The sequence below is a fragment of the Homo sapiens genome, chromosome 10 (assembly GCF_000001405.40).
Source record: "Homo sapiens chromosome 10, GRCh38.p14 Primary Assembly".
NCBI classification, from domain to species: domain Eukaryota; kingdom Metazoa; phylum Chordata; class Mammalia; order Primates; family Hominidae; genus Homo; species Homo sapiens.
The window spans coordinates 84557439-84584627 of NC_000010.11; the positions used below are offsets into that span (position 1 = coordinate 84557439).

The window sequence follows — 27189 nt, forward strand, 5'->3', positions numbered from 1 at the left end:
GACAGAGCAAGACTCCATTTTGGAAAAAAAAAAAAATTTGATTTTGTAGAGATGGTGTCTCCTTATGTTGCTGCAGCTTGTCTCAAACTTCTGGGCTCAAGTGATTCTCCTGTTTTGGCCCACCAAAGTGTTGGGATTACAGTCGTGAGCCACCGTGTCCATCCTGTTTCCTTTTAAATTTACAATCTGCATGTTTGATTTCTTTGTGAATGGTATAAAGTAGAAGTTAAGATCCAATAATTTTTCCAAATGTTTATCTAGTTGACCCAGCACCATGTTTATTAAAAGACCATCATATTCTCCTCCGATATGCAACATTACCTTTGTTATAAACCAAGTAGTTGTATTGTGTGGGTTTTATTTCTGGATTCCATTTTCCATTTCATTGACTTAATTACTGCTTTAATTATTTTGGCTTTTAAGTCTTGATATTGAGGAGCTCATATTAGCCACATAGTTTTTCTTTCTAAGATCTTCCTGGTTCTTCTTCCTAAGTCTTTCCAAGATTTTTATAAAATCTTTAAGAGGGTTTTCACTTTTTTTGGCCTTTTGCATTTCCATATACATTTTAAAATCAGCTCATAAATTTCTAAGCCAAATTGGAAAACCCTGCTGATATTCTGATAGGAATTGCATTGAACCTATAGATTAATTTGGGGAGAAATTAACATCTGTATAATATTCTCTTCCACTTCATGAATATGGTATATCTCTCCATTTATTTAGGTCATTTTCAATTTTTCAAAATGTTGTATAGTTTTCTGTGTAGCATTCTTGTACCTTCTTTGTTAGATTTATTCTCCAGTTTTTAAATTTACAATATTATAATTGGAATATTAAAATTTTTTTCTCTATTTGTTTGTTAGAATCTAAAGCTACCACTGCTTTTTGTATACTGACCTTTTATCTAGTGATTCTGCTAAGTTTGCTTATTAATTCTAATAGTTTGTCTACAAGTTTTTGTGTATTTTCTATTGTGTACTATGTAGTCTATATAGTAATCTGTTATGATTGTTTTATGTCTTTCTTTCCAATTCTTAAATCTTTCATTTATTGTTCTTGCTTAATTGCACTAGTTAGAATCTCTAGTATAATGTTGAATAGAAGTGGTGATAGCAAGTGTTTTTGTCTTATTTCTTTTTTTTTTTTCTTTTTTTTGAGATGGATTCTCGCTCTGTTACCCAGGCTGGAGTGCAGTGGTGCAATCTTGGCTCACTGCAAACTCCACCTCATGGGTTCAAGCAATTTTCCTGCCTCAGCTTCCCAAGTAGTTGGGATTATAGGCATGCACCCTCACTCCCAGTCATTTTTGTCTTATTTTTTAATCTTAGGGGAAAAGCTTTTAGGATTTTACTGTTAGGTGTGATGTTGGTTGTAGGTTTCTGGTATCTATAAATTAATAGATGAAGAAGGTCCCCTTCTAATTCTATTTTGCTAAAAGATTTTATTGTGAATACATATACAATTTATCAAATGATTTATCTTTGTTTATTAAAATGATCATGTGATTTTTCTCCCTTATTCTGTTTATGTGGTACATTAAATTAATTGAGTTTTAAATGTTAAGTTCCCTTTCTTGGAATATGCACATCTAGGGTTGTGATGTATTGTTATTTTTATAAATTGCTAGATTTGTAATGCTTTCAATTCTGTTTTAAGAGAGATTGGCTCGTGATTTTCTTTTCTTATAATAACCTTGTCAGAGTTTGGAATCTAAGGTTATACTTCTACATAGAACAAGTAGGGAAGTGTTTCCCAGTTGCTGTTCTCTGGAAAAGTTTGGGTGTGACTGGCATTATCTTTCTTTAAATGTTTGGAAGAATTCACCAATGCAGTTATCTAAGCCTAAATCTTTTGATAAAAGGCTTTCAGATATGTGTTTAATTTCTTTAAAATGTATAGTACAATTCAAATTTCTATTTCTTTTTTTCTTATGAATTCATTCTTTCTATCTAAATATGTAAATCAGTAAATGTACTGACAACAGATTACACATTATTTTCACTTAATTTTCTTTTTAATTCCCCTTTCCATTCCTGATAGTGGTTTCTTGTGCCTTCTTTTTTTTAATGATTAATTTTTTCCAGTGATTTATAAATTTACAAATCTCATTCAAGTGTTCAAAGGGCAAGCCTTGATTTTGAACTCTGGCTTTCTTGATTTTTCTCTGTTCTGCATTTGTTTTCCACTTCATTAATTTCTGTTCTTATCTTTATTATTTTCTTTCACTTTGAGTTTAATTTGCAGTTCTTTTTCTAACTTCTTGAGATGGATGTTTAGAGCCTTGACTTTTGGCATTTCATCTTTTCTCATATGTTCACTTAATGGTAAACAGTTTCTTCTATTCATAACTTTAACTGAATCCCATAAATTATGATATGTCATATTTTCATTGCCATTCAGTTCCAGATGTTTTCTAATTTCCTTTGTAACTTTTTCTTTCACTTATGTACTATATAGAAGTATACTGCTTAACTTCTAAACATTTGGAAATTTTCTAGTTACCTTTTTTTAAGAAGTGATTTCTAGCTTATTTCCATTACAGTTAAGGAATATACTTTGGAAGATATTAATTTCTTAAAAATTGTTGGTGCTTGCTTTATGAGTTAGTATATGACTGATTTTGGTAAATTTTCTTTTCTTTTTTTTTTTTGAGACATAGTTTCACTCTTGTTACCCAGGCTGGAGTGCAATGGCGTGATCTCGGCTCACTGCAACCTCCGCCTCCCAGGTTCAAGCGATTCTCCTGCCTCAGCCTCCCAAGTAGCTGGTATTACAGGCATGTGCCACCACACCTGGCTAATTTTTGTATTTTTAGTACAGACGGGGTTTCACCATGTTGGTCAGGCTGGTCTCGAACTCCTGACCTCAGGTGATCCACCTGCCTTGGCCTCCCAAAGTGCTGGGATTATAGGCATGAGCCACTGTGCCCGGCCTGATTTTGGTAAATTTTCTATGTGCATTTGAAAGTAATGGTATGCCTTTTGGCTCTCTGACCAGCACCATGGTGGTTGACAAGAACAAGCGCCTTACGAAAGGTGGCAAAAAGGGAGCCAAGAAGAAAGTGGTTGATCCATTTTCTAAGAAAGATTGGTACGATGTGAACGCACCTGCTATGTTCAATATAAGAAATATTGGAAAGACGCTCGTCACCAGGACCCAAGGAACCAAAATTGCATCTGATGGTCGTGTGTTTGAAGTGAGTCTTGCTGATTTGCAGAATGATGAAGTTGCATTTAGAAAATTCAAGCTGATTACTGAAGATGTTCAGGGTAAAAACTGCCTGACTAACTTCCATGGCGTGGATCTTACCAGTGACAAAATGTGTTCCATGGTCAAAAAATGGCAGACAATGATTGAAGCTCACGTTGATGTCAAGACTACCGATGGTTACTTGCTTCGTCTGTTCTGTGTTGGTTTTACTAAAAAACGCAACAATCAGATACGGAAGACCTCTTATGCTCAGCACCAGCAGGTCCTGAGAAATCCGGAAGACCTCTTATGCTCAGTACCAGCCAAATCCGGAAGAAGATGATGGAAATCATGACCCGAGAGGTGCAGACAAATGACTTGAAAGAAGTGGTCAATAAATTGATTCCAGACAGCATTGGAAAAGACGTAGAAAAGGCTTGCCAATCTATTTATCCTCTCCATGATGTCTTCGTTAGAAAAGTAAAAATGCTGAAGAAGCCCAAGTTTGAATTGGGAAAGCTCATGGAGCTTCATGGTGAAGGCTGTAGTTCTGGAAAAGCCACTGGGGACGAGACAGGTGTTAAAGTTGAACGAGCTGATGGATATGAACTACCAGTCCAAGAATCTGTTTAAAATTCAGACTTCAAATAGTGTCAAATAAAAAGTGCTATTTGTGGGAAAAAAAGAGAAAGTAATGGTATGTTTTGCAGTTTAGGTTATTGTATTTTATATATGTCAGGCGATGTATACTAAACATGTTGTTTAAGTATTCTCATTTTTAAATTTTTGTTTATTTACTCTTTCAGTTATGGAGAGAAGTATATTAAAAATTTCACACTACAGTTATGGACTCTTTTTTTCTCTTAGGTTTGTTAATTACTAAATTATTTATTTTAATGCTATACCATTAGGCACATACAAATTTATATTTTTTCAATTGTACTGATTGTTGACTTTTTGATAATTATGAAATACCCCACATTATCACTTATAGCATGTTGGTCCTAAAGTTCATTTTTTTTTTTTTTGAGACAGAGTCTGGCTCTGTAGCCCAGGCTGGAGTGCAGTGGCGCAATCTCGGCGCACTACAAGCTCCACCTCCTGGTTTCACACCATTCTCCTGCCTCAGCCTCCCCAGTAGCTGGGACTACAGGCGCCCGCCACCACGCCCGGCTAATTTTTTGTATTTTTTAGTGGAGACGGGGTTTCACCGTGTTAGCCAGGATGGTCTCGATCTCCTGACCTCGTGATCTGCCTGCCTCAGCCTCCCAAAGTGCTGGGATTACAGGCGTGACTAAGGTTCATTTTGTCTGATTTTTTTTTTTTTTTTGAGACAGAGTCTCGCTCTGTCGCCCAGGCTGGAGTGCAGCGGCGCCATCTCGGCTCACTGGAAGCTCCGCCTCCCGGGTTCACGCCATTCTCCTGCCTTAGCCTCCCGGGTAGCTGGGAGTACAGGCGCCCGCCACCACGCCCGGCTAATTTTTTTGTATTTTTAGTAGAGACGGTGTTTCACTGTGTTAGCCAAGATGCTCTTAATCTCCTGACCTCGGCATCCACCCATCTTGGCCTCCCAAAGTGCTGGGATTACAGGCGTGAATTTTGTCTGATATTAATTACTACAGTCATACCAGCTTTCTTTAAATCAGGGTTTGTATGGTACTTTTTTAAATTTTACTTTCATCTTTTTAATATCCATATATTTTGGGTGTATCTCTTGTAAAAAGTATATAATAGTTGAGTTCTAATCCAAATAATAACCTTTACCTCTTAATTGGAATATTTAATTTGTTTTAAATATAATTACTAATATATTTGAGTTTAAATCTATCATCTTACTTACTTTTTTTCTATTGGCCCCACCTGCTCTATATTTCTTTCTCTTTCCTTTCTTGCTTTCTTATAGATTCATCAAATAGTTTTTATTTATTCCATTCTTCTCTATTAGTTTGATAGGTTTATCTTTTTTTGCAGTTTTAAAAAAATGGTTACCTTAGATTCCAGTAGGCATTCTTGACTTATTAAAGCCTAGCAAAAATGATCTTCCACACTCTGGTAATTCAAGGGCTTTCAAGTACTTCGTGTATCTCTTGCCTTTTGTACTATTTATTCTCATGTATCTTAAAAATTGCACGTCTGTTTTTAAACCCCGCATGACGTCATAATTATTGCTGTTTCATACAGTCAGTGTTCATTTAGATCTCTGTGTGTGTGTGTGTGTGTGTGTGTGTGCGCGTGTGTATTTATAATATTCTTTCTAATGCTTTTACTTTCTTTCTGGAAATCTATGATTCCATCTAGAATTGTTTTTCTTCTGCCTGAAAATTTTCCTTTAGTGTTTAGTGTTTCAACATGGGTCTGTTAGGTTTTGATTATCTGAAAAAAGTATCTAGTTTGTCTTTATTTTGAAGGACATAAAAGACTTTTATGATGGCTACAAAATTTTTAGTTGGCAATTATTTTATTTATATGTGTGTATATATAAATAGTATATTATATATAAAAATATATAAATAAATATATATTCCATTGTTTCAGACATTCTCCCCCTTGTCCCTATTGGGTATCAGCAGCCCCATTTCTCTTTGATAATTAGGAGCAGGGAACCCAGCCTGTATAGTCTCCTTTGTTACTTGCTAATTCAGTGGCATGTGGAGCTCAAAATTGCCAAGTGGAAGATTCAACTTCCAGTGTCCTCTGGTAGAAACATTTCTTCCTTAGTAATTATGGGCTTTAAACCAGCAGAGCTCCCCATGGTGAGAACTGAGAGCATATATTTTGTATTCAGTAACTGGGTAAATATCTACAGAGTGGGTTTATGGACACTGGCCAACTGTGAAAATGGACTAAGGCAGAAGCTCTCTGTATCACCTGTCTTCCAAAACCCCCAGTTCGACAGTTGAACTGCAGTGGTGTTTTGAGTCCTTGGGGATTACTGTCAATTTAGAGTCAATGTCCGGTAATCTCTGACAAGCCCGGGCAGTCCCTTCTCCATGCACCATCAGCCCTGTGCCTGAAGGTCCCATGGTGGGTATGAAGGAAGAATTACTGTGCACACTTGTGGCAGTGTCCTAGGACTCTTCCACACGGGAGCTGGATTCCCTTTCAGTCAAGCAGCTCCACGTTGGTGAAGTAGCAAAACACTGAGAATTGGATGAGAGGCCAGGAATCTTTGTGCTGTCACCAGACCTAATCTTTGTTTTTTTGTTTATTGATTAACTGAACAGAAAAAAATTAGGACTTTGGTAGTCCCCAGTCTATTCCAGTCACAGGAACAGTAAGATGATTTGACCACTGACGGATATCTCCATGAGTTAAAACATTTTGAAATCATTTAAATCTGCTGCCAGTTATTGTACCCGCACCTCCCTTATCTCTGTGGTTGAGTGCCTCTACTTCCTCTATTCCTTTCAAGTATGCTCTCTGGTTCCCAAGTTGTGGGCTCTAAGCCAACAATATCAGCATCAGCTGGTAATTTGTTAGAAGTGCAAATTCTCCGACCCCACCCAGACCTACTGAATCAGAAACTTCGCAAGTGGGGCCCATCAATCTGTTTTTTACAAGCCTCCAGGTGATTCTGATGCATGCTAATGTCTCAGGAACACTGCAATATACCACCACCTCTACTGAAAGAAAGGATCCCATTTCTGTGGCAGTATCAACTAATGTCACCCCTGGCCAGTGGAGGACAGCCACTGCTGAGCTTTGATAATGATGCTGGTGTTCCTAATCAATATACTTCTTTTTTTTTTTTTTTTTTGGAGACGGCGTCTTGCTCTTGTTGCCCAGGCTGGAGTGCAGTGGTGCGATCTTAGCTCACTGCAGCCTCCGCCTCCCAGGTTCTAGCGATTCTCTTGCCTCAGCCTCCCAAGTAGCTGGGACTATAGGCACCCGCCACCACACCTGGCTAATTTTTGTAGTTTTTAGTAGAGACGGGGTTTCACCATGTTGGCCAGGCTGGTCTCAAACTCCTGACCTCAGGTTATCCACCCACCTCGGCCTCCCAAAGTGCTGGGATTACAGGCATGAGCCACAGTGCCTGGCCATCAATATACTTCTTAGTGCCTCATTAAATAAAGTTTCTCTGTGTCTTCTGGGAGACGTATTTAGGTTATGCATGAGTAGATCACACATGTAAATCCACTGCAACATTGCTATGTTTCTAATCTTTGAGTTATTTTCTCCAAGAAAATTATGCCAAAATATCTTAGCACTTCCACTTGATTTAATACAGGTCATCACTGAATCCACAGTTTAGGTTACCATTCTTGAAGTCTAACAGAGCCACTGCTTTATCTAATATTGCATCGGAATGTCTAGTTAGAGTATCCATATGGATATATTAATTTGGGATCACAATTATGTCCTTTCCTCCCTGGTCTAGTTCCCTTAGTATCCCTTCCATAAATAATCCCTAAGTATTTGCTGTTATAAATTAGCAGAAGATTGGAATTCAGGGTGTTAGCTCCTTTTTAATGTCATATTTATATCCATACCCCTAGGTTAGGCTGGGATCTGATCCTAATTATGGGTTTTCTAGCAAGAAGGAGTGGTGGGGGCTGGAGAATGAGACTCCTTTTGTTACCAGGGGGTCCTTGCTCACAGAGCTCCCAAGATGGTGGCAGGCCACTTCCAAGATTGTGGCAAGCCTCGTGTTCTCTGACCTGGGGTTCTTGGCCTTACGGATTCCAAGGAATGGAATCTTGGGTCATGCAGTGAGTGTTACAGCTCTATTAGAAGCCGTGGGTCATGGAAGAGAACCGTGGAACCCAATGACTAGTGTTCAGTTCGATTAGGATGAACCCAGGCACTTAGCTGTGCAGGAACAATGGCAAGCCTTTAGCCTCATCAGGAGTGGCAATGGGCGCCTCACTGGATCGGAAGCACAGCGGACACCCTTCCATATCTGGAGGGATGGAAGTCAGCGGCGGGTCTGCGACGGCGGCAAACAGCAGTGGTGGACGGTGAGCAAAAGCTCAGCTCGAGCTGTAATAAACATGGACCAGAAGAGTGCAGTTGCAAGATTTAATAGGGTGAAAACAGGGCTCCCGTACAAAAGGAGGGGGAGGGGACCCAAAGGGGGTTGCTGTTGCCGGCTCAAATGCCTGGGTTTAAATCCAGATCCTTGTCTCTCCCGTTGTGCCCTCAGACAATAGATGATTGGCTATTTCTTTACCTCTTGTTTTTGCCTAATTAGCATTTTAGTGAGCTCTCTGATTGGTCGGGTGTGAGCTAAGTTGCAAGCCCCGTGTTTAAAGGTGGATGCGGTCACCTTCCAGCTAGGCTTAGGGATTCTTAGTTGGCCTAGGAAATCCAGCTAGTCCTGTCTCTCACTTTCACAATTACAATCCTATTGATTACAGGTAAGATAATTGTCAGAGGCAATCAAATCAGAGCGACTCCATCTTGAAGAAGGGCTGGTCAAAATGAGGATGAGGTCTTCTGGGCTGCATTCCCAGGAAGTTAAGCATGATAAACTCCTGAATTAGGTTAGGATGAGATAAGAGGTCGGCACAAGATACAGGTCAAAAAGACCCCTGCTGATAAAACAGGATGCAGTAAAGAAGCCAACCAAAACCCACCAAAACCAAGGTGGTGATGAAATTGACCTCTGATCGTCCTCACTGCTTATTATATGCTAATTATAATGCTGATAGCATTATAATTTAGCGTGTCTTTAGCACACTAAAAGACACTCCCACCAGCACCATGACAGTTCACAAATGCCATGGCAATGTCTGGGAGTTACCTTGTATGATCTGACAAGGGGAGGACCTCTTAGTCCCAGGAATTGCCTGCCCCTTTCCTGGAAAACTCGTGAATAATCTGTCCCTTGTTTAGCATGTAATCAAGAAGTAACTATAAAAATAGCTAACCAGCAGCCCTCCATGCTGCTCTGCCTATGAAGTAGTCACCCATTTATTCCTTTACTTTCTCAATAAACTTGCTTTCACTTCACTGTATGGACTTGCCCTGAATTTTTTCTTGTGTGAGATCCAAGAACCCTCTTTTGGGGTCTGGATTAAGACCCCTTTCTGGTAACACAGAAAGACCCTGCTTTGCTTAGGGTCTTGAAGCAAGGCAGAGCTATGCAGGTCAAAACTGAGGGGACATGGGACACTTCTATTGGTAAAGGATGACTCAAAAGAATTTGAGAGTCCAAGGTATTCAAATTAATCCAAGTCTACCCAAATGACCCCATTGTCAGGATTAATTCCAACTGTTACCCTAAATTTTCTATCAGACACCTGGTGAGGGTGTGAATATCACTGACATCGTGATTCTGGCTCTTCACGCTACTTATGCTTTAAATTAGGAAATTCAGGAAACTATTATTTATCTCAGAAGTACTCAGCCACAAGAAAGGTAAAAAGTAAAGTTATTTGCAAGTCTGAAGAGAGCAGACATTCTAAAAAGGGTAGAGTCATAAACAATATGAAAGATCCAATAATAGGTTAAAGAATGTGTGCAACATTTATGCCAACGAGATTATATTCTTTTAAAAAAGTGCTTCCATACATTGATCAGTGTATTAGACAGAGTCACAGCCCCCAAGATGTCCATGCCCTAATCCCCTGGACCTATGAATAAGGCTTTGCAGATGTGATTAATGGGCTCTGAGATGCAGGGTTTATCCTGGATTATCCTGGTGGGCTCAATCTAATGTGACCTTACATGCAAAAGCCTTTTCTGGCTGCAGAGAACAAAAGAGACAGTAGTTTGAGAAGGACTTGCCTTGTCATTGCTGACTTTGAAGATGATGAGAGGGTCCAAGTCAAAGAATGTGGGTAGCTTTGAAAAGCTGGGCAAAGCAAGGAAACAGATCTCCCCTAGAATGTTCAGAAAGAAACACGATCTGGCTGCCACCTTGATTTTAGTCCAATTGAGACCGATTTTAGACTTCTGACCTCTAGAACATAAGTTTGTGTTGTTTAAGCTGCTGAGTTTATGGTAATGTATTATGGTAGCAATAGAAAACTAATACAGGAAGAAAAAGACAACTTAACAGGAGAAAAAAATCCCAGCAAAGATTAGGAGAGACAATTCACAGTGTTAGCTAATTAACATTTGAAGAGATGCTTAATCTCACTAATGAAGCAGGTAAATGCAAACGAAAAGAATGAGATTTCATTGTTCACTCATTAAATTGGCAAATGTTAAAACAATTGATAATGTTGATGCTCAGAAAACAATACCCAAAAGTATGGTGCTTTGGCATGCTGAGCACTTTGAATTAAAATAAATTGAAAGATCTTAGAAGCTGCTTCCGAACCAAGGATTTTCTAATCTTCTTTTGTTTCTCGCCTGTCCCCAAAGTGCAGGGAGAGGCTCTCTCTCTGGAATTTCCTTATCTGACTGAGGAAACTTCTCTCCAAAAGAAATGGAATTATCTTAATCCCTCTCCCTAGGAATCTCATTAAATAACCAGGAAAGATTAACCACCAGAGAAGAGGAAAGACTACACGTCATCACCATACCCAGACAGACTTTTCATCTATTTTTTTTTTTTTTTTTTTTTTTTTTTGAGACGGAGTCTTGCTTTGCTGCCCAGGCTGGAGTGCAGTGGTGCGATCTCGGCTCACTACAAGCTCCGCCTCCCGGGTTCACGCCATTCTCCTGCCTCAGCCTCCTGAGTAGCTGGGACTACAGGCACCTGCCACCACACCCGGCTAATTTTTTGTATTTTTCGTTGAGATGGGGTTTCACTGTGTTAGTCAGGATGGTCTTGATCTCCTGACCTCGTGATCAGCCGGCCTCAGCCTCCCAAAGTGCTGGGATTACAGGCATTAGCCACTGTGCCTGGCCCATCTATTTTTTTGAGGGCATCTCCGAGATTGCCTTAAAAGAGTTTATCTGCATAATTAGATGACCTTTGTTCACAGTGCAGTTCTACCCCTCATTTTCCCACAACTTGCCAGTCCCATTCAATTTCCTAAAACAATCATTTAAAAACTACTGTCTGCTCTTTGGACCCATTCCTTTCCCTTGAAAATCATTTACTACCCCCTCACCATTGCCTACATCACCCATCTTCCTCTCCCCTAAGAAGAAGGTATTTAAGCCTCAACCATCTGGCCCTTCTTTGAGTCTCATATTTCGTATGGCTTCTGTGCTTATGCATATTAATACATTTATATGCCTTTTCTCCTGTTGATCTATTTTCAGTTCATTTCAGCAGACTCAAACCTTCAGAGGGAGAGCAAAATTCTCTTCACCCCTATAGTAACAACACCCCATGGTAGTGAGAAATAAGCACTTTGAAACATTGCTGGTGGAAGTGTGAATTTCTATAACCTTTGGGAAACTAATGTGTGATGTCTAGTGATATAAATAGCACACAAATCCTTTGATTTAGTAAAATCAGTTTGGGCCATCATTCTGACAGAAATAATAGGTCATTATTTTTTCTGTAAATATATGAGGCAATTTATAGTGGTGTCAAAAAACTAGAACTAATCTGAAGGTTCATCTTGAGGAATGGATAAATAAATTATATGCATCCATAATGTGAAATATTGTGCATAAGGTAAAATTAATTAGATTTCTATACAGAGGTCTAAAAGTCTGTCCATTATATGCCATTGGCTAAAAAAGCAAGATAATGTTCATAGTATGAATCCATTGAGATTAAAAATAACACAACAAAGCACAAAATGTTTGTGTACATATATTTACATACATTTATGTTTGTATAGAGAAAAGTGTGGAAAGAAACACACCAAGCAACAAACATTGGTTATCTCCATGTATGGCATTGGGTATGGAGGGGCATGGGAGAGGGCTGGAGAATTAACTTGTTCTTCACACAACTCTGTTTAGCTTTTTACAATGAGTGCATAAAACTTTTATGAAATTAAGCTTATCTAATACAGTACATAAGATGGGGAAGAAACCATGCATTATCGAATGTACACATCTGCTTATCAACTGATGAATGACCCTTTCAACAGGTGTTTCTGGCACTACTCACTGGCCAACAGTCCAGTTTTGGCCACAGCATACCTTATTTGTCCAGGGCACCTTTATGCAGTTGCTTAAACATTTGGTGGCATTTTGTCCCTGTTTCATAAAAATGAAGGAAAGATGGAAAAAAATGAAAGTGCAGATATGTAGTGTAAGTTTTGTAAATTTAAAGCAATAAAGATGGAAATTGTTAGGCGTACTGAAATTAATAAATCTTGTTCCAGAATCAGACAATCACTGGGCTTGAACCAGTTGACTGTCTGGTTGTGAAGGAGAAGAAAAAAGTTAAGGAATAGAGGCAAAGATACTGTATCTTTTGAGAGAAGTAACTGGGGATTACAAAATATATTTATTTTTTCTTTCCGAGATGGAACCACCTATAAACACACTTAAAACATGTAGGTCTGTTGCAGGTTTTCCTCACATTAAACACGTTTTCAGGCACACGTTTGACATGTCCAATTCAAAATATTGGTCTTAATGCATCCCCTCCCCAGTTCCTCATGCATGTCCCTGATTTCTACTTGTAGTCAATCAAGACGTTCACACAATCTTCAGGCTAAGTAAGATAAGTAGGAAGGAAAATGACAAGAAATAGTCAGATTTCAGTTATTTGATTCCTCAAACAGGCTTTTAAGATTCAAAAGGGCAGACCTGAGTAAGGCAAGATACAGAATTTATATCACATTAAGACCGGAAAGAAAATAGAGGAAGTAGGAGGCCATGCCTCCCGTGCCACTTGGAAGCAGAGGGAAAGGGTCCCTGAGACTAGAGAGGAGGGGGCTAGTAGGGGGTCTTGCATGGGAGTCTGCATGTGACTCAGGCAGGGAATGGCAGCTGTTGGTCTTTGACTTGACCATTAATGGGTATGTACCTTACATTTCCTTTTGTTTACAAAATGGCTTTGCTTACTTGAGGCAACACTAAGATGCTCAATACAAACATCATTTGTCCTTTAACATTATTTGTATTTTTTTCCCACATCTTACCACTATGAACATTACTGTTCTGATGACCCATTTGCCTGCCCTATTACCCACCTCCTTAGACTCTGAAGATGGAAAGGTACAGACTGTGTCACCCACACTCTGGCTATCAGTGATTGAGGTCAGAGCTGGGCACAAGACCCAGCTTTGCTCAACTTGGAATTTACAGTGGGACTTGGAGACTCTACTTGCTGACTGCCGAGGCTGGGAGCAGATGTCATGTAGAGCTGGACAGCTATGTGCGTGGAGAAAGAGAAAGCTGTGTGGCCAGAAGACTGAAGCAGGGCTGCTGGGAGACAATGGGCTGGGAGAGAAGCGGGATCTGCTCCTGCAGCCTAGAGAGACACAGAGGGGAGTCTAGTTCCAGACTTTTCCATCTCTGGTCCCTTCTTGAGGCTAGCCTCCATCTGACAACTCTTTGCCATGAAAAGTGAAGATACTGAGAGGTGACAGCATGCTGGCAGCCCTCGCAGCCCTTGCTCGCTCTTGGTGCCTCCTCAGCCTCAGCGCCCACTCTGGCCGTGCTTGAGGAGCCCTTCAGCCCGCCGCTGCACTGTGGGAGCCCCTTTCTGGGCTGGCCGAGGCCGGAGCCAGCTCCCTCAGCTTGTGGGGAGGTGTGGAGGGAGAGGTGCGGGCAGGAACCAGGACTGTGCCTGATGCTTGTGGGCCAGCGCAAGTTCCAGGTGGATGTGGGCTTGGCGGACCGCACTCCAAGCGGCTGGCTGGCGCTACCGGCCCGGGCAGTGAGGGGCTTAGCACCCAGGCCGCAGCTGCCGGAGGGTGCGCGGGGTCCCCCAGCAGTGCTGGCCAACAGGGGCTGCACTGGATTTCTAGCCGGGCCTTAGCTGCCTCCCCGTGGGGCAGAGCTAGGGACCTGCAGCCTGCCATGCCTGAGTCTCCCCCACTGCCTTGCGCTCCTGCACGGCCTGAGCCTCCCTGACGAGCGCCGCCCCCTCCTCCAGGGCGCCCGGTCCCATCAACCGCCCAAGGGCTGAGGAGTGCAGGCGCATGGGGTGGGACTGGCAGGCAGCTCCACCTGCTGCCTGGCGCGAGATCCACTGGGTGAAGCCAGCTGGGCTCCTGAGTCTAGTGGGGACTTGGAGAACCTTTATGTCTAGCTAAGGGATTGTAAATACACCAATCAGCACTCTGTGTCTAGCTCAAGGTTTGTAAATGCACCAATCAGCACTCTGTGTGTAGCTCAGAGTTTGTGAATGCACCAATTGGCACTCTGTATCTAGCTAATCTGGTGGGGACTTGGAGAATCTTTATGTCTAGCTAAGAGATTGTGAATACAGCAATCAGCACTCTGTTTCTAGCTCAAGGTTTGTAAATGCACCAATCAGCACTCTGTGTCTAGCTCAGGATTTGTAAATACACCAATCAGCACTCTGTATCTAGCTAATCTAGTGGGGAGGTGGAGAACTTTTGTGTCTAGCTCAGGGATTGTAAATGCACCAATCAGCACCCTGTCAAAATGGACCAATCAGCTCTCTGTAAAACAGACCAATCGGCTCTCTGTAAAATGGACCAATCAGCAGGATGTGGGTGGGGCCAGATAAGAGAATAAAAGCAGGCTGCCGGAGTCAGCAGTGGCAAGCCGCTGGGGTCCTTTTCCACACTGGGAAAAGTTTGTTCTTTTGCTCTTGGCAACAAATTTTGCTGCTGTACAATTTTTGGGTCCACATTGCCTTTATGAGCTGTAACACTTGCCGCAAAGGTCTGCAGTTTCACTCCTGAAGCCAGCGAGACAACAAACCCACCAGGAGGAACAAACAACTCCAGATGCACTGCGTTAAGAGCTGTAACACTCAATGTGAAGGTCGGCAGCTTCACTTCTGAGCCAGCGAGACCGTGATCCTACCAGAAGGAAGAAACTCCGAACGCATCTGAACATCAGAAGGAACAAACTCTGGACACGCTGCCTTAAAGAACTGTAACACTCACCGCGAGGGTCTGCGGCTTGATTCTTGAAGTCAGTGAGACCAAGAACCCACCAATTCCTGACACAATACTAGGATACTTATATTTATTCTCACACCAGCTCCACTTTATAAAATTAGTTCAATTGTTTTGTTTCATTTTGAACTCATTTTAGATTTACTGAAGAGTTAGAAGGATAACAGTGTTCTTGTAAACATTCATCTGGCTTCCCCAAATGTTGACGTCTTACACAACCATGGTATGTTAGTCAAAGTTAAGAAACGAACCTTGGTACAATTGTAATACTGTTATTACTAGGGTAACCAACTCATGCAGGTTTTCTTGGGCCTTCGTTATTTTTAGCACTGAAAACTTCGCATCCTAGGAAAGCCTTCAGTTCCAGACAAACTGGGCTGTTTTGATTTTAAAACTGAGGGCAGGTGTGGTGGTGCACACCTGTGGTCCCAACTACTCAGGAGGCTGAGGCATGAGAGTTGTTTGAACCGGGGAGGTGGGGGTTGCAGTGAGCTGAGATCGTGCTGCTGCAATTCAGCCCAGGTGACAGAGCGAGATTCTGTTTCAAGAAAAAAGAAAAAACAAAGGCCCCCAAACTGAAAGTTCCATGCCCCAGGATCCCCTCAGTCCCAGCAAACCAGGACAGTTAGTCACCCATTACAGACTTTATTTGGATTTCTGCAGTTTATCCACTAGTGTTTTTTGTATTTTGTTTTTTTCTTGTTTGGTTTTCTGTTTCAGGATCCAGTCAAAGATACTGCTTTGCCTTCAGTTGTCAAGTCTCCTTAGTCTCCTCCAACCTATGACTATTTTCAGACTTTCCTTGAGTTGCATGATCTTGGCACTTTTAAACATTTATTTATTCATTTATTTATTTATTTTTGAGACGGAGTTTCACTTTGTTGCCCAGGCTGGAGTGCAATGGCGTGATCTTGGCTCACTGCAGCCTCTGCCTCCCGGATTCAAGCGATTGCCCTGCCTCATCCTCCCGAGTAGCCAGTACTACAGGCACGTGCCCCCAAGCCCAGCTAATTTTTGTATTTTTAGTAGAGACGGGGTTTCACCATGTTGGCCAGGCTGGTCTCGAACTCTTGACTTCAGGTGATCTATCCACCTCGGCCTCCCAAAGTGCTGGGATTACAGGCGTGAGCTACCACACCCGTCTGATCTTGGCACTTTTTAGAGTGTACTGGTCTAATCAGGTCTCCTTAATCTCCTCCAACCTGTGACTGTTTTCAGACTTTCCTTGACTTGCATGATCTTGACACTTTTTAGAGTGTACTGGTCAATTAGTTTGTAGAATGGCCTTGAATTTGAATTCATCTGATCTTCTCTCGTGATGAAGCTGCAGTTATGAGTACATAAGAGGTGAAGTGTCCTTCCCATCTTATCATATCACAGGGTATATGATATCAACATGACTTATTATGTGTGATGTTAACCTAGATCATTTGATTAAGGGGATGTCTCCCAGTTTCCTCTATTTTTCCTTTTCCATATTCTAGCCTTTAGAAGTAAGTCACTAAGTCCAGCCCACACTCAAAAGAAAGAGAATTAAGTTCCAAAGTCCTGAGGAGAAGAGTACCGAATAATTTCTGGACATATATTAAAACCATCAGGGTAACTAACAAATATCTTGGTGGAGATACTTTGAGGCTATTCAAATCTTATTTCTTCCGAAAGTTTTTCTTACTAATTTTTAGCATTCATCAATGATCCTGCCTGTAGCTATTGTTACTGTGGTGTGTAGCTATTGTTACTGTGGTGTGTCCTGGTAGTGAATTTCTATGCTTAGCCAGCAGATGGTGCCTCTGTGAGTGAGTGCCTGGAATATAGATGGTGCTCAAACAATGACTATTTCCTATTGCCTTTCTCCCCAGGACTGCCATGTAGAACAGAAGCATCCCATTTGGAGCACTGGTGACTGAGGATTCTGGAAGAAGGAGGCCTGGGACCTTTAATGCTATTACCCACAATTTCTCCACTGCCATGGCAGAGAACCCACCCTCATATGGAAGCACTTCCCTTCTGTTCTTTTCATTCCTTCTATTAACCTTCTCCCCATAGACCACCCACAGGCTGCCAGAGTTCCAAACTATCTTCCCCAAACACAACACTCACCATGGCCCTCCTCTGTGGGCTGTTCATTGCAAACAGAATTAAATTCTACCTTTTAATGAGGCTCATTAAATTCTACCTTTTATTGGCTCATACTGCTCCCTCCATTTTCATTTCTCACTATCTTTCTCTTCATATCTAAAACTGGAGCCACACTGCATTGTTTCTTCTTTAAAACACTCCTGCTACCCCAGGCCTCTGTGACTGTGCATAGGATGCCCTCTCCAGCTAGAATGTCTTTCCACTTCTTTCTTCCCATGGGCTTTTTCCTATTTATCCATAGCACACCTGGGATGTTATCGTCTCTGTGAAATCTTCCCTCCCTCCCTCAAACTCTAACCTCTGTGTTCCCACAGCATCTTTCACCTATTACACAAACCTCTGTTGTGGAACACATTATGTTGTTTCGAAACTTTTCTGTGTCGATTTCTGCCTTTTTTGTTGGAGTGGGAGCTCTTCAAAAGCAGGCCCTGTCTTGTTTATTTATGTAGCTTCAGCAAAGGGCCTAGCACCTAACAATGTTGCCAACATTTTTCGAGTGCCTACTTTTTACTAGCACAACAAATTACCTCACTAAATCTATAAAAGAACCCTATAAAGGAGGTATTTTTAAATGCTCCCTATTTTACATATGAGAAAACTGAAGCTCATAGAGCATAATAGACTTTCCAAGGTGACACAGCCAATAAAATGTGGAGCCAGAATTGGAATTCAGGTGTCTTTGACTCCAAGGGCCCTTCTTATAACCATGGAACAAATTGCCTCTGAGGACTATTTCTGCAGTGACACAGAGGAACTGTCCCCAACTGTAGCATCATGAAAGTCACTTTAGAGCCAGTCTGGCTGAACCTCTCATGTTAATGATGAGAAAACTGAGACCCGGAAAGGAAAGGTGGTATGCAATGGTTTCCTAACTTTGGAGCAAGAATCTTGTTCAGCGCTTAGATCTTCTGACCCCAAGGCTCTTTTCACTTTATCACACTGATAATTTGGTGAGAGGCCAGCCACACCATTTGTTTGACGAAAAAGGCAGCATCACATATAAGATCTTCTTATAGAAAATGGGCTTTATTCTTGGCCGGCCATGGTGGCTCACGCCTGTAATCCCAGCACTTTGGGAGGCCAAGGCAGGTGGATCACGAGGTCAGGAGATCAAGACCATCCTGGCTACCACGGTGAAACCCCGTCTCTACTAAAAATACAAAAAATTAGCCAGGCGTGGTGGTGGGTGCCTGTAGTCCCAGCTACTTGGGAGGCTGAGGCAAGAGAATGGCGTGAACCCTGGAGGCAGAGCTTGCAGTGAGCGAAGACTGCACCACTGCACTCCAGCCTGGGCGACAGAGTGAGACTCCGTATCAAAAAAAAAAAAAAAACAAAAAAACAGAAAATGGGCTTTATTCTCAAGTGTGAAGAGAAGTAGCTGGTAGCCTATAATAGCTATAGATTTGCACAGGAGATGATGCTGTGTCAACACAGGACCAGAGTGAAAGAAGCAAGGGTTTGCTGGGGTCTGATTTACAGACAGGTACTTAACAACAGTGTGACCTCTAACAAATTGATTCTTTGTTTTTTTCCTTCCCCCTACCCACCTTCCCCACCCTCCTCGTTTTTCTTCTCCATTTTCCTCCATTCTTTCCTCCTTTCTTTCTCTTAGCTGAGTGGAATATTCACATGATAACTCCAGCCAATGAATGTTAAATATAAATTACCAACTTAAAATCATAGCTATTAATTTATATCTACGAATGCAGATATTGAGAGGTGAGAGGTACACAGTGACTTAATAAAGTTTTGTAAACACATCTGAGCATTTATTAATCTTTTAAAATTAGCTTAGAATTTCTACATTGTGTAATTTAAAATATGAAAACTATTTTTATTTTAATAGAAGGCATACTGAAGATGGCTTCAGTGTTTAATCCAACCAAACGTTTAAATAATAAATACAAATCCTTTATGAACTCTTCCAAAAAATAAAAGAGGATATTAAACTTCCCAACCCATTCTATGAGGCTAGCATAACCCTTATATCCAAACCAATAAGAGACATCATAGGAAAATGAGGCTACAAATTAATATCTTTTATGAGTATAGATGCAAAAGTCTTCCATATAATACTGTTAAACCAAATCCAGGAATATTTAAAAAGGATTATATGCCATGACCAAGTGGGATTTATCCTAGGAATGCAAGGTTGGTTTAACATTTTAAAACAATCAGTCCATGTACTAAACCATGTGAATAGAATTTTAAAACCATAGTGATATTAATAGACATAGAAAAATCATTTTACAAAATCTCACAAAATCATTTCACTATTTTATGACATATAGAGAACAAAGTAGCAATAGAAAGGAACTTTCTTTGCATGATAAAGGGCATTGACAAAAAAATCCGTAACTGACATCACACTGAATAATGATATACTGGATGCTTTCTCACTAAGATCAGTAACAAGACAAGGAAGTTTGCTCTTATAACATCTATTGAACATTGTGCTGCAGGATCATGCCAGTGGATTAGGCAAGAAAATAAACTAAATGGCATCCAGTCTGGAAAAAAATAAGTAAAACTATAATTGCAGATGCCATAATCTTGTATATAGAAAATCTTAAGTAATCCATACACACAAAACTGTTAGAACTAATAAGTTCAGAATTATTGCAGGATTAATGTATTGCAAGATTAATGTGTAAAAGTCAACTGTATTTCTTTTTTTTTTTTTTAAGTGAGGTCTCACTCTGTCACCCAGGCTGAAGGGTAGTGGCATGATCATAGCTCACTGCAGCCTCTATCTCCCAGGCTCAACTTATCCTCCTGGCTCAGCCTCCCAAGTAGCTGGGATTACAGGTGTGTGACACTGTGCCTGGCTAATTGAAAACATTTTTTTTTTTCCAGTAGAGATGAGATCTCTCTATGTTGCCCAGGCTGGTCTCAGACTCCTGAGCTCAAGCAATCTTTCTGCCTCACCTCCCAACATGCTGGCATTACAGGCATAAGCCACTGCACCTGGCCTCAATTGTAGGTCTATATGCTAGGAATGAATAATCAAAAAATGAAATTTAAAAATTTCATTTGTAGTAACATCAAAAATAATATAAGACTCAGGAATAATTTTCACAATAAAGCACAAGACTTCTACACTAAAAACTACAGAATGTTGTTGAAATAAACTAAATAAAACCTAAATCAATGGAAGGACGTTCTATGTTCATGGATTGAAAGATAGTATTATTTAGATGGCAATACTCCTCAAATTGTTCTACAGATTCTACACAATTCCAATTAAAGTACCAGCTGTTTTTTCCCCCCAGAAATTGACAAGTTGATCTTAAAATTTATATGAAAATGCCAGGAACCCAGAATATTCAAAACAATCTTGAAAAATAAGAACAAAGTTTGAAGATTCACAGTTTTCAATTTTAAAACTGACTCTAAAGTTACAGTCACCAAGACAGTGTGGTACTGCCATAAGGATAGACATATAGATCAATGAAATAGAATTAGAATGCAGAAATAACCCATTATATGTACGGTCAATTGATTTTTAACAAGGCTTCCCAGACAATTTAATGAAGGAAAGAATAGTCTTTTCAAGAAATTTTGCTGGGACAACTGGATATCCACATGCAAAAAAAATGAAGTTGAACACCTTATCTCACACAATATATATATAACTAACATAAAATGGACCACAGATCTAAATGTTAGAGAAACTATTACACCCTTAGGTGAAAACATAGGGGTAAATCTTCATGACCTCGGGTTAGACAATGGTTTATTAAATATAGCACTGTAACTTGATTACCTCTGTAAAGAAAAAAATATAACACTAAAAGCATAAGCAACAACAACAAAAAATAGATAAATTAGATGTCATCAAAATGAAAAACTTATACTTCAAAGATACTATCCAGAAATTGAAAAGAGAACCCACAGAATGGGAGAAAATACTTGCAAATCATATGTCTGATAAGGGACTTGTATCCAGAGTCTATACAACTTAATAAACAGACAACTTTATTAAGCCATTCTTGTTTTGCTATAAGGGAATATCTGAGACCCACCCAGAGCAACTTTTACTCCTGCAAGCTCCATTCATGGTAAGTACCCTACACAGGTGTGCCATTTTTATCTTTTATACTGTATTTTTTACAGTTCCAGTTCTATGTTTGGATTCAGATACTTACCATTGTGTTATTTACAATTGCCTACAGTATTCTAACATGCTGTGCAGGTTTTTAGCCTAGGAGCAGCAGGTTATACCATATAGCCTAGGTGCATAGTAGGTTATATCATTTAGTGTGAGTACACTCTATGATGTCTGCACAATGACAAAATGGCCTAAAGACACATCTCAGAATATATCCCCATGGTTGAGTGATGCATGACTGTATATATGTGTGTGTGTGTATGTGTATACATATGTTTGTATATGTAGAATATATATGTGTATATATATGAGGGTAGGGGTAGGCTGTATTTAAGTATGCCAACAATTGAAACTTAGTGAGAAATAAATGTCTTCCAATTTTGAAAAAAAATGAGAGTATACAAGTATTTATATTAATGCTATATTTTTGAGAGTTTATTTAATCAAATAGTTTTGTGCTTTTTGAGAGCATGTTTCTTTAGTCAAGGACTTAAATGTTTCAAGAGATAAAGAGCTTCTTTTACCATGTGTGAGAACTTGGAGAAACTGTGGGAGAAATGAAAGTAAAGTATTAGAGAGGAGATAAAATAAATGCAGATGGTTGAATGAAATGCTGGAATCATGAGGATGGGCAGAACGTATTGAATGAAGAGAAGAATACTTGGGGAAGAGAAGAATGAAGAGTCCCTTAATACCAGTCAAATGAAAGTACTGGGTGTAAAATTATCAGCAAGCTGGAATGAGCAGAGAAGAACAAGGGAAATGGATGTTCAATCTAGAGACCTGCAATGCATGGTACTTGAGATAATAGCCAAACATACCCAATACCTGTAGAACTCTCTCACTGATAACTATTGAGATCGTTTGGAGCTGCGTAAGTTTCACAAGCTCCAACTCGTCAAATAATGAAAGGCATGAAGGGAAAATATTCAATGTGTTTATTATTTCTCTGCCTCCCCGACATGCACTCTTTCCTAGCTTGATATTCTACATTTAATGTTTTGTGACCTTTAAGTTTCCCACACAACAGAAGCCACTTCAGACCAAACATTGTTAATGGGCTTGTTCTCTACTGCCAATGACCAGAAGGCTGTCCCTGGCTTCCATTGGGGAAGAGGTGAATGAAGACCCAAGGTCAATGCTGCAGTACTAGTAGAAGTGACTAGTGGTTTCTGAACAGTCAGCAGACTGGACATCTGTGCATCTTCATGTTTTCTTTTAGGCAACTGGACAGTAAATGTTCCTCTCAAAGCTTTGGCAGCTGTGAGGATGGTTATTTTTGACTGTCTTTGAGATCACCCATGTGGGGTAGGATGCTGCTGCAGTCCACTACGGGGATGAGGCAGAGCTTGGCAAATCGTCTGTTGTTATTCTTCCTCCTCCATCTCCTCTTTCCAGTCTCCTCCTCCTGGTGGCCTTCTGGGCAATGTGTACTATGGGGAAGAAAGCAGCCCAGCAGCTCTGACAGAAGTATGAATCCCAAGTACTCCAAGGCTCAGGGACTCTGTGCAGGGCCAGTATTGAGTGACAATCTTGAGTGAGGCCAATCAGTATTACATCTATTGTCTCCTAACCAGTCCTCAGATGGTCTGTGCCAAGTGCCTAAGAAAAGGGGGTGTCAAATCATCTGAAACTGTGAGACAAATAAAAGAGCTATAAGGAAAAGGCACTCACAACCCCTATCTCTCACCATATAAAAATAAACTCAAAATGGATTAAAGACTTAAACGTAAGACCTGAAACTGTAAATCTACTAGAAGAAAACATAGGGGAAAAGCTCCATGACATTAGTCTGGGCGAAGATTACTTGCATATGACACCCAAAACACAGGTAACAAAAGTGAAAATAGACAAATAGGATTACATCGAACTAAAAAGCTTCTGCACAGCCAATGGAACAATCAGTAGAGTGAAGAGACAACCTGCAGAATGGGAGGAAATATTTGCAAACCACACTTCTGATAAGGAGTTAACGTCCAAAATATATAAAGAACTCGAACAACAGCAAGACAACAAATAATGAGATTAATAAATGGACAAAAGACTTGAATAGACATTTTTCAAAAGAAGACACACGAATGGCCAAATGTGTATGTAAAAATGTATGAAAAAATGCTCAACATCATGAATCATTGGAGAAATGCAAATTCAAGCCACAGTGAAATACGACTTCACATATTTTAGAAGGGCTTTAATCAAAAAGACAAAAGATAACAAATGTTGTTTAGGATGTGCAGAAAAGGGAACTCCTGCACATTGTTGGTGAGAATGTAGATTAGTACAGGCTTTCTGGAAAATAGCAGGGGGTCCCCCAACAAATTAAAAATAGAATTACCATATGATCTAGCAATTCCACTTCTGGGTATATATCCAAAGGAAATGAAATCCTTATACCAAAGAGGTATGTATACTCCCATGTTGATTGCAGCACTATTCACAATAGCCAAGATACAGAATCAACCTAAGTGTTCACCAGTGGATGAATGGATAAATAAAATATGTCTTATGTACACAATGGAATACTAGTCAGCCATAAAAAGGATGAAATCAGGCCGGGTACGGTGGCTCATGCCTGTAATCCCAGCACTTTGGGAGGTCGAGGCCAGCAGATCACGAGGTCAGGAGATCGAGACCATCTTAGCTAACACTGTGAAACCCCGTCTGTATTAAAAATACAAAAAAATTAGCCAGGCTTGGTGGCAGGCACCTGTAGTACCAGCTGCTTGGGAGACTGAGGCAGGAGAATGGCGTGAACCTGGGAGGCAGAGCTTGCAGTGAGCTGAGATTGTGCCACTGCACTCCAGCCTGGGTGACAGAGCGAGACCCCCAGTCTCAAAAAAAAAAAAGGATGAACTCCTGTCATTTCTAGCAAAAAGGTTGGAACTGGAGGTCATAATGTTAAAGTACGTCAGGGACAGAAAGACATATCCTGCATTTCACTTACATGTGAAACCTAAAAAAGGAGAGGGAGAATATGAAGATATTGGTCAAAGGGTACAAAATTTTAGTTACATGGGAGGTATACATTCAGGAGATCTTTTGTACAATGTGGTGATTATAGTTAATAACAAGTATAATTGAAAATTGCTAAGAGAGATTTTAAGTGTTCTCACCACAAAAATGGTAAGTACATGAGGTAATAGTGTATTATGATTGAGCCTTTCCACATTGTATGCATATTTCAAAACGTGTTGTCCATGACAAATATATACAAATTTTATCTATCAATTAAAACAAGTACACACACACACAAAGAAAAAGAAAAGTCACTCACACTGGTGCACCTTGGCCAAGGAAGAGAATGTCCAAAACTGGTGTGATGAAGACAGTTTGCCTTCAGAGCAATGAATAGGAATGAATAATGGGCTGGGCGTGGTGACTCATGCCTGGAGTCCCAGCACTTTGGGAGGCTGAGGCAGGAGTTGGAGAAACGAAGAAGGGAAGAGCAGCCGGTGTGCAATGGAGTGGGAAGAGAAGCCGTAGCTTCAGCCAGGAAGGGTGAGGTCCACTTCAGAGTCACAGGCCCAGGGGCTACCCAAGGGGAGAGGTGTGGATAGGGATGGCAGAGGCACGGAGTGCGGGCTGGCCAGGAGCACGTGGTATGGTTGACACTGAGAGGCAGGGTTTTGATTGATGGGGATTGTGGGGATTTCATAGCTGGGCTAAAGTCAGAGACTTGTCACTGTGACCCATATTCATGATGGCACTTTGCAGGCTGGCCTTGGGAACAGGCACCATTTCTGGCCCTGTTGGGTGCTGCTCCCTCTAATTCCTTAGATGCCCCACCCCCAAGCCTCACACAGCTTCCTCACACACGGGCATGCACTGGTCAGAACTCTGCTGAATACTTGCGGGATCCTCCACACATCTCCAGTACTCTTTCTTGGGCATCTCTGTCCTCATCAGCACTGGATCTTGTGGACTCCAGCCCCCTGGGCTCTCCCTTCTGCGCCACAGCCTTGAGCTCTCTCAAGTCAGGAAGGGCACCTTGTTGATTTCCCATCTCCTGGGGATCTCTGTTTTTCACAGCCAGATGCTAGTGTCTTGAAAACCCTTGTTTTATATGTTATCTGGATATTTGGTTGTTTTAGGCAGGAGGGTAAATTCCCCGTCACGTGCCATCTTTTCCAGAAGCAGAAGAAATCCTTTTTTTTTTTTTCAGACTGAGTCTCGCTCTGTCACCCAGGCTGGAGTACAGTAGTGCCATCTCTACTCACTACAACCTCTGCCTCCTGGATTCAAGGGATTCTCCTGCCTCAGCTTCCCAAGTAGCTGGGATTACAGGTGCCCGCCACCATGCCCGGCTAAGTTTTGTATTTTTAGTAGAGATGGGGTTTCTCCATGTTGGCCTGACTGGTCACAAACTCCTGACCTCAGGTGATCCGCCCGCCTTGGCCTCCCAAAGTGTTAGTATTACAGGCGTGAGCCACCTCACCCGGCCAAGAAACCATTTCTGAACTTGAACAAAGACTACCCCAGTGTGTGCCGCACCGACATCACTCCTCAAAGCACACTGGCAAGCACAGATGCTCTTAGCTGATATCTGTCCATCAAATCTCAGTCCACACGTCACCTCCCCAGCCTGTTCTTGGCCCCCTGAATTCAAATTTGGCCCTCTGCTGCTGTGCCAAGCTCCTTGGGACCCCTGTGTTGTGCTCACTGGACTTGCCTACATCTCCCCAGGCCTGAGCCTCTGCGCTCATCACTCCCCTCCTGCTTAGCACAGGCAGGGGCCAGGTGTGGACTCTGCAAACAGCGGTCCAATGTGTGAATGAATGATTGAAGGAAAAACCATAGCTTCCTGCTCAGCTGAGCCTTTTGCAGACTGGGCAGGAGACAGTTTCAGGAAGAAAATGAGCTGTTTTAGGTCTGGCCAAGTTTTCCTGGAAGAAATTCCTTCTGGGAGCCACAGTTTCTGGGCTGGTTGTCTATGTTTAGGGAGTTGTGCCTGGGAAAACAGACTGACGTTTTATAGAGAAGATTTTGCCTTTTTCGTTGCTGGAATGTTTTCACATGATAAAGGCACTGCCCAGTGGGGGCTCAGAATTGTAGCTCTTGAAGAAAGATCTGCCTTCATGGCCGTCTTCTCTGTAGGAGGCAGGGACGTGAGAGCAGATTGGTGAGTGTTCAGTATGATAGCTGATGTCCAGGAAAATGTTGGGAAATGCATTACTGATGGCAACAAAGCCAGGCTCCTCAGGGAAGAGGGCTTGTGCAGAGTGATGTGAACTGGGGAAAATAAAGAGAAAGTTGAGGGTTGTTTTCAGGCATGGCAGTGTAATCCAATACTATTTGTGACACAGAGGAAAGGGTGTGGCCTTGTGTCAGATGAAGCTAGATGTAAATATAAGAACATTTAAGCTCATGGCTTCCACTCTTGGAGACTTAGTTTTGCCATCTGATAAATAGGTTGCCTAGACAAGGGAGATGATGGATGGGAAGCATCAGCTCAACACAGTGTGGGCTCCGTTCCTCTCCCTGCCTCTTACCCTCTCCCTCTCTCTCACAGAAGATGAGAGAAGAGGAGCACCAGGCATATCTGTTTCCAGAGCAAATCCTGTGTACCAGCCCATCTGGAACTTCAGGGAGTGGATGACATGCTGAGGCCTCCTTGTAATTCACTGGTTGAGAAGACTCAGCCCAGAGAGGTGTGAACATGAGCAGTTTTATTTTCCCCCAGACTCTTCTTTCATCTATGCTCTGTTGAATCTCTTTCCCATCCCTCACAGCATCCTGGTAAGATTCTGTAACTTTCAGGTGTCTCTTGGATATTAAACTTTAATCTAAAATTACACTTTCAATCTCAATCTTGATTTAAATCTCATCCCCTTGGAATATAGA

The 27189-nt window shown here is 41.2% G+C and overlaps 1 long non-coding RNA gene and 1 pseudogene across 1 annotated transcript, besides 2 other annotated features; both read left to right on the top strand.

The window, feature by feature from the left end:
* On the top strand, nucleotides 2981-3868 carry RPS3AP5 (RPS3A pseudogene 5; annotated as a pseudogene).
* Nucleotides 10163-10679: an enhancer, noted in NCBI's record as "OCT4-NANOG hESC enhancer chr10:86327357-86327873 (GRCh37/hg19 assembly coordinates)". NCBI's record gives its function as "activates a minimal SCP1, AML or CMV promoter by ChIP-STARR-seq in naive H9 embryonic stem cells {active_cell/tissue: H9 hESC(naive)}" and the evidence as "EXISTENCE:reporter gene assay evidence [ECO:0000049][PMID:30033119]".
* Nucleotides 15234-17899, top strand: LOC124902550 (uncharacterized). The gene is made up of 2 exons (XR_007062378.1): nucleotides 15234-15321; nucleotides 16958-17899. It is a non-coding gene; the product is annotated as an uncharacterized LOC124902550 (long non-coding RNA).
* Nucleotides 25961-26460: an enhancer, noted in NCBI's record as "H3K4me1 hESC enhancer chr10:86343155-86343654 (GRCh37/hg19 assembly coordinates)". NCBI's record gives its function as "activates a minimal SCP1, AML or CMV promoter by ChIP-STARR-seq in naive H9 embryonic stem cells {active_cell/tissue: H9 hESC(naive)}" and the evidence as "EXISTENCE:reporter gene assay evidence [ECO:0000049][PMID:30033119]".